General features: G+C 44.3%; 1 annotated feature.

Moving 5' to 3' along the window:
• Window positions 86–286: a silencer, noted in NCBI's record as "peak7328 fragment used in MPRA reporter construct". NCBI's record gives its function as "represses an SCP1 promoter by STARR-seq MPRAs in K562 erythroleukemia cells {active_cell/tissue: K562}" and the evidence as "EXISTENCE:reporter gene assay evidence [ECO:0000049][PMID:32103011]".

Below are 8,327 nucleotides of genomic sequence, written 5' to 3'. Positions count from 1 at the left end.
TATTGTTTCTTAGTCAATGTCTCTGACCCCTTACACATCTTTTGGGATAGAGAACTGGCTGTGCCAGCCCTAGTGGCATCACTGTACTGCTTAAGGCTATCAATGTGGGCTAAATCCTCTCATTGTCCCTGTGAGGAAACTAAGGCCGTAAGAACTTGGGCTTCAGATTTAGACTTGTAGCCCCAGCTATGTAAGCAGATTTGTCAGGACTCCCAGCTCAAGTGACAAAAACACTACTCCAACTCCCTTGCGGTAGAACATGTATTGGTTCATGTAACTGAGAAGTCCAGGTGTTCAGTGAAATGGTTAGGATTCTGTCTATCTCTTGATTGTGTTTTCCTCTGGGTTGGTTTCATTCTCAAGCAGGCTCTTCCTTGTGGTCTCTGGAGAGACCTCTTGAATCCCAGGTTAAAAAGAAAAAAACAAAAACCCAAAAAAAACAGATCTGTCAGAATTTATCCGAGTACGCAGGTCTGTGTCTTCTTTCCTCTGCATTCAATCTTAAACTTGGCTAAGATTACTGATTATGCTGAATGACATTTAATTTTTACATGCCCTGTGACTTTTCTAAACTAGAAGCATAATTTTAAATTTTCACCTTAAAAAACAAGTTATGTGTTCCTCTTCTGAAAACAGGCCTATCCCATTTGAGAAGCTTTCTGGTGGGCGACCTCATCAGAAGGAAGGTTACTCATTCCTGAAACAGATGGCATTTGCCATGTGTGATGCGTGGAGGGTGTAAAGATGATGAGGCAGGAGCCCTGTGCACTGTGATGTACCGTGATAAAGGGACGACTCAGCAGCTTCAAGACACCAGAGGATGGGAACCAGGCTGGGAATGGGACATGGTGACATAGGTGATTTCCCCCCGAGCTGAGCGGCCAAACGATGTTTAATAAGCTGCGTAAACGGTTTAAGGGGGACGTTGAACAAAGAACAAAGCCCCAAAGTGAGAGATATTAAGATTTAATCTAAGTAAGGAGTTAAGATACTTCCAAATACCTAGAACCATAGGATAAGCCAGGTTTATGAGGCCTTCTACAAATCAGTCCCACTAGGCATTCTCCTAACCAGACTAAACTATTTGTGCACCCTAAACATGATGGACTCTCCTGGATTCCCCTGTCCTTGTACAAGATGTGCCTTCTACCTGGGAAGTCCCTTCTGCCCACCCCCACCACTTGTCTAACAGATATTTTCCCACCCATGCTCATTCCTATAAGGCAGTTAATTGCCTTTCTGCGTCTTAACGACCTGGGTCTGTTTTAGCACTTATCACTACATATAATGTGCTTTATAATTTAAAAAACGATTCTCACCAAAAGTAAGATGAGTTTCAGGGGCAAATTACCTCCCAGAAAGCAAACAAGCCAACTCTCTTCTCATAGATGGGGTAAATTCCAGCTGCTGTAAAATCTCCACTTCCAAGGCTTCCGCTGCTATCCCTACCCTGATATCTCTGAAATTCCTTCTCTTAGATCCAGGCTCTCTTCTGAGCTGCAGAGCCATATGTCCCGTTCACTCCTGGGCACTTCCACTTGAATATTCCCTTGGTACATTGACTCAAAACCGAGCTCATGGATCCCTCTTGCCCTTCCTCAATTGCTCCCATGTTCTGTGTCACTGGGAAAAATAAAATAAACTATTAGAAACCTGAGAGTTATCTTGAACATTTTCCACTCCCCCACTCCCTATATCCAGTCTCCTAAATGTTATATAGCTGATGATATCATATATGATACATTTGTATGTATTTATACCATATATACTACATATATATGATTCTATATATAACCTTAATATGTAAAGTTGGTTAGACGTGGTGGCTCACGCCTGTAATCCCAGCACTTTGGCCAAGGCAGGCAGATCACTTCACGCCAGGAGTTTGAGACCAGCCTGGCAAAATAGTGAAACCACGTCTCTACTAAAAATACAAAAAATTGGCTGGGCACGGTGGCTCATGCCTGTAATCTCAGCACTTTGGGAGGCCAAGGCAGGCGAATCACCTGAGGTCAGGAGTTGGAGACCAGCCTGACCAACATGGAGAAACCCCATCTCTACTAAAAATACAAAATTAGCTGGGCGTGGTGGCACATGCCTGCAATCCCAGCTACTTGGGAGGCTGAGGCAGGAGAATCGCTTGAACCCAGGAGGTGGAAGTTGCGGTGAGCCGAGATTACGCCATTGCACTCCAGCCTGGGCGAGAAGAGCAAAACTCTGTCTCAAATAAACAAAAGCAAAAGCAAAAAATTAGCTGGACATGGAGGCACGTGCCAGTAATCCAGCTACTCAGGAGGCTGAGGCATAAGAATCACTTGAACCCAGGAGGTAGAGGTTGCAGTGAGCCGAGATGGTGCTACTGCACTCCAGCCTGGGCGACAGAACGAGACTCTGCCTCAAGGAAAAAAAAAAAAAAGATGATTAGAAAACTGGATGTGTTGTAGATATGTATATGATGATATACAACATAATAAAGTAAAATAATAAACTTTTAATTATTTTATTTCTGTTCATCCTCCTTGTTCCTGCAGCTGCCTCATTCCTTCTCCCTTAGATTACTAGTTAATAAACGTTCAGTATTGCTGCAATCAATTAAGTACTTACCCCTTCAAATCTATCTTCAAACCAACTACTTAAGTCATCTTTCCAAATCTCCAACTTCACCATGTCATCTCCATGCTGACAAGCCCCTCATAGTTCCTATTTTGAAGTTGAAATTCCTTGGCATTCTATAGAAGACTATTTGTGAGGCTATGTGTAAGCTGTATCTACCCTCTGCTGGAAAAAGATTAATACGGGAGATTTATTTTCAATCATGTGGTCAGGGTAGAATTCTCTGAGGAGGGAACATCTAGCACCTTGAGGATCCCCACTTAGCTAGTGCCTTCTGTGTGACCATTACCTCATCTTCTTAGTGGTAACAGTGATAACAATGTCTCTTGGTGGCCAAGAACTTAACTCGTAGATGCATCATGGTCTCCTGGTATCATCACAGCACTTGTCAATGGGTTATCTATTAATCCCCATTTTACGGTTGAGGGAACTAAGGCTCATAGAGTTTGTGACTTGCCTTCGGCCCCCCAACCAGTGTGTAACAGGGTCAGGTTATCAATATAGGCCACCTGGCTCCAACCCCGGAATCCTTAACCACTGTGCTGTGCAACTCCTGCAGGATGCTGCTTCCTGTGTCACTGTAGGCTTGTAGACTCCAGCTTCCAAGATGAATCTAACCTCGTCAACACTCAGCTCCCCACAATCTGGCTCCTGTCTACTTCCCTAGCCTCATCTCCCTTTGTTGCCCCAGCAAACACTAACTGGGCCGCCACTCTTTATCCTGGTCCAACTCCTTTCTGCTCTTGCCTGTCTGTACTTACTCATCCTTCAGGACTTATCTGAAACGTCACCTCCTCTAGGAAGCCTTCCTGATCCACCACCCATAAGCCAGGTTAAGTGACCCTCCTCCTTGCTTCTATAGCACCCTTTGTAGCACCTGTCACACTGCACTGAGTTGCTGGCTTTCTTCTCTCTTAAGAGACTGTGGGCTCCTCAAGGGCAGGGACAAGGACAGCTTCCTCTATTTCCTGGGCCTAGTGTGGAACCTGGTATGGAGTAAATGCTTCACAAATGTCTGCTGACCTGAACTTACTTAGCGAATGTCAGAGCTTCCTGGAAGGGGACTTCCAGTAACTATAATTGTTCACATTTGCAATATGCTTTGAGGTATGCAATATTGCTTTGCCATATACTTTGAAGCTTTGATTTGTCCCCTGCCTTCATAAAGAATTTGATGTGGTACCTAGTAGAATAACAAACAGAAAATTCAGAGAGCCCGTGCCACAATGACGGCTAATGTTTATTGATTGACTACTGTGTGCCAGGCATATTTCTGAGTCCTGTCACATGGATCATTTGCGTAATTTTCACAACCATAGGAGTTGAACTCGGTTATCCTCACTTAACAGATGAGGAAACTGAGGCTGATGAGTGACTGAAGAACTTTTCCAGGATTACCCAAGTAATAAAGGGAAGTGACAAGGTTGACATTAAGGCCATCTGGCCCCGGAGTTTTGTGCTTCTCAAATCCCTTTCACACTGATTATCTTATTGACTCCTCTGAGATTGATATTGTTCCCAGATATTGATATTAAGAAAAATGTGTTTCAGATAAGTGACTTTTCCAAGTTCAGCGTGCCAGGAAGTGGCTGGGCTGGGTTGGTGGTCTATCTTACGCCCAGGCTCGCTCCGTCACTTCCACATCGCTGATTCACACGCGCATTTTGCAAACAAGGACACTGAGGCCAGGAGAGGTAAATTGCCGGCCTAGGGTCATACAGTTTGTACCCCATTCTGTGCTCTTTCCTCAAACAGGAAATACCTAGGAAGCTGATGGGGTGAGGGTAGGTCCTAGGCTTGGAAGGGGGGTGCTGCCGTGTCTCTTCCCATTGTCCCTTTCTCATTTGTCACAATCTGAATGTTTAAATTTCGTATTTAGTATTTACTCTGAAATGGCTTTCATCTGATTTCCCCCTTGCTCACCAATTTAGCTGTCAAAGTAAATAAATGTGAAGCTGGGTCTCCAGCCTCCCCCAGCTCACATTACCTTCCTAGAATTACTCCCCGGCAGGGTCGAACCATTGCTGGGGGCCTCCCACAGAATTATCCAGTTACTAATGAAGCCTCTTTCAAACTGAACCCTTGGGCCTAGACTCAAATGGGGGAAGATGGCAAAATTCACCCCAGAGGACCAGATGACCACATCCTGTTTAGTGACCGGGAGAAGAACTGCAAAGTGAGAAGATGCCATTATTCATGTAGGGTGCTTAATACAGCTTCAGGGTTGTATAAATGAATAAATCTACAACACTTTAAAAAATATTAGTTCTTTTTTTTTTTTTTTTTTTTTTTTTTTGAGATCGAGTGTCACTCTGTTGCCAGGCTGGAGTGCAGTGGTGCAATCTCGGCTCACTGCAGCCTCTGCCTCCCAGGTTCAAGCAATTCTCCTGCCTCAGCCCTCAGCCTCCCGACTAGCTGGGACTATAGCCACCTGCCACCACACCCGGCTAATTTTTGTATTTTTAGGAGAGACTGAGTTTCACTATGTTGGCCAGGATGGGCTTGATCTCCTGACCTTGTGATCCACCCACCTTGGCCTCCCAAAGTGCTGGGATTACAGGCATAAGCCACTGCACCCAGCCAAAATATTAGTTTTTAATGTATAGTTAGTTGTCACTTCAATTCTGAGAGGTCAGTATCATTATTCCCCGTTTTGCAGGTGAGGAACTGAGGCTCAGAGAAGCTAAGTGACTCAAAGTGACCCACAGTTTGTCATAGGAAGAAATCAAGTATCCTAATGGAAGGTACTATGTTTGCTAATCCTAATTTTGCCAAGGTCACTCCTATCTGGACTCTTTTTCCTGATGGAAAAAGATGGAGTCAGGAGTCATTGGAAGAGAGATTTCTTTTCCAAAGTAATTTCACTTCTGTCCTCTTTGAAGTTAGGCAAGTTCTGGGCTCGAATAATGGTTCTGCATCTTCCTTAGGTAAGTTATTCAGGAGAAGATTTGATTTTTTTTGGTTGATTCATCCCCTGCCTTCATAAAGAATTTGATGTAGTACCTAGTAGAATCACAACCACAAGATTCAGCCGGTCCATTGCCATAATGATGGCTGTTTATCATTTGCTTACTGTGTGCCTGGCATATTTCTGAGCCCTATTACATGGATCATTTGCGTAATTTTCACAACCATAGGAGTTGAACTCGGTTATCCCCACTTTACAGATGAGGAAACTGAGGCTGATGAGTGGCTGAAGAACTTGTCCAGGGTTACCCAAGTAATAAAGTAATAAAGGGAATAGAAAACAGATGCCAAGGTTGGCATCAAGGCCATCTGGCCCTAGAGTCTTTGTGCTTCACTACTGACTTTACTGCCTCTTACTCCAGTTTTTATTATCTGAGCACTTAATCAGAATTCAGGAGCAGAATTGCATAGTAGGTAAGAGTTTGGGTTCTAAAATCTGAGTGCCAGAGCTTCAGATGGGACTCCTGTAAGCTTGTTTCCTCAACTATAAAAGAAAGATAATAATATAACCTTTTTGTAGGGTAGTTGCAAGGATTAAAGAGGATAATGCGTGTAAACAACAAAGGGCTTAGCACATAAATGCTCAATAAATAGTTATTATTGTTATCACTCTAGGAGCACATGCTTCACATTCCCCCTCATTAGAGTGCAGCAGCTTGTTTGTCCAGCCTCTGAACCTTTGTGGTCCTCTCTCTACCTGAAATACTTTCTTCTTCTCCCTGAACCCATCCAAATTTCACCTGCCCTTTAGTTTTAGCTCAAGCCTCTTCCATGGCTCATGTCTAAGAAGTTTTGCAAAGCCAGTACGATCTTCATGGTCTTCTTTCCTGGGGCCCTTCTGCACTCACAAATCTGGCATATGTGCAGCATTCTATAACGTTTATTAACCTTTCAATTCCCCCAGCCACCCAAAGGGGAGGAAGAGAAGGAGGTAAAGCAGGTCCTATTGTTATTCCCATTTTGCCGATGAGAAAACAGGCTGAGCCTATAAGTGGTGAGGCTGGGAGTCACATCCAGGTCTTTTAACAGATAATGTGGAGTGTGTGTGTATGTGTGTGTGTGTGTGTGTGTGCACATGTGTGTGTGCAGAAAGTAAACATGGTCATGTCTGCAGCCTAGAAATCAAGAGTATGAGCTCTAATGTGAGATGAATGTGGTTTTAAGTCCTTGGTTCTGGCAATTAGCCATGTGCACCATTTTGGATATATCACATGAACTCTCTGAACCTCAGTCTCTTGATCAGTAAAACAAGCACGCTGAGAGATGCTACCTCACGGGATTATTGTGAAAAGAAAATGAGATCACGATTGTAAAATGCCTCGTATCATGCCTGGCACAGATTAGTAGCTGTAATAACTGGGAATAATCCCAGTAGTAGCTGAAATTATTATGTGCAAAGGAGATATTTGAGAGGGAGGGGTTGTTCTTCTGTATTCATGTTTGAGAATGCATGTGTATGTGTGTACACATGTGTACCTATGCATACACCTCACCCGCTTTCACATTGCAACTTGTTCTCTTCGTATAAAAGATTAGGGTTCAAAGAGAAACTCTTTTCACTCTGAATTTCTGTGTCTGAGAGCAATGAATGACTGGGATGCAGAGGGCGGGAAATGCCATTAGCTGAGGCTGGGGCTATTTTTGTGTACCTTGATGCCAGTAAAGGAACAGATATTTGTATCTTTGGGGAATATGGGTGTGGATCTTTAGTATCGTGTTGGTGTGCAGGCATCCTCTACTACCTGCGCCTGTCAGAACCTGCCTGTGTGTGTGCAAACTGAGACTATAACTATTGGGAATCTATGGCTGCAGAAGTGTGTGTGATGTGTCTGCCTATAAATGCCTATCAATAGTTGTCTCACCATCTGTAAGGATGTAAGTACATATTTGAGGGTGCCTGAGTAGAGGACATAAGGTTATACATGGGTTTGGAGCTCTGTGAAAATCTGTGCCCTCTTGAGTATGGCTGTGTGTACAAATGGAAGAACAATTGTGTGTGGGGGGGTGTTTACATCTGTAAATGAGGGCAATTATGGAGGTGATGACATGTGTGATGTGGTGAGGGTAGGCTGTCATGGTGTCTGTAGGGCTGGATCTATGTCTGAGTGTGCTTATTTGTTTTTAGATGATGTATGTTTACATGTGTCTCTTTAGGCTCAGTTTGTGTGTGGAGAAGGGGGCTGAGACTCTAAGTGTCCACTTGTGTATGCTGCAGGGCGTTAGTGTGTGTAAGGCTCCATCTTTGGGTTTGAAGGTTCTGTGTCTGTGTGTCTGGGGGCAGTGTCTTCTGTCTAAATGCCTGGGCCTTCCTGCCTTCCCTACCATTCTCATTGTCAGTAGAACCCTAGAGAAGAAGGGATGGGCATTGGACTGTGTGGTTAAGCAAATCCTGAAGGGAAGGGGAATGTGCCAAGCAATCCCTTCCAAGAGAATTCAGGGAAACTACCCTCCCGTTTCACCTCAGTCCCTGGGAGCTGGTGCACTGTCTGGTTCTTATAGAGCAGAGGTATCTGTGCAGGTGTGTGAGAGTAAGTGTGGTGCCTCGTGCCCGTGTAAATGATGTGAACAGGTAATCACTTACATTAGTGTGTACACAAATGTACCAGGCATGGGATTGCATCAACACAGTGTAATAACGTGTGACCTCCTACGGAATCTATCTCCGCAGATGGTATGGCCATGGGTCCCTCCTGTACCTGTGAGTGGGGCAGTGTCTGAGGAAGATGGGTGCCCCTTGAGGGAGGAGC

Source organism: Homo sapiens, chromosome 9 (assembly GCF_000001405.40).
Source record: "Homo sapiens chromosome 9, GRCh38.p14 Primary Assembly".
NCBI lineage: Eukaryota > Metazoa > Chordata > Mammalia > Primates > Hominidae > Homo > Homo sapiens.
Note: the sequence above shows the minus strand (reverse complement) of the source record. Positions and strands in the feature narration are given on the sequence as shown.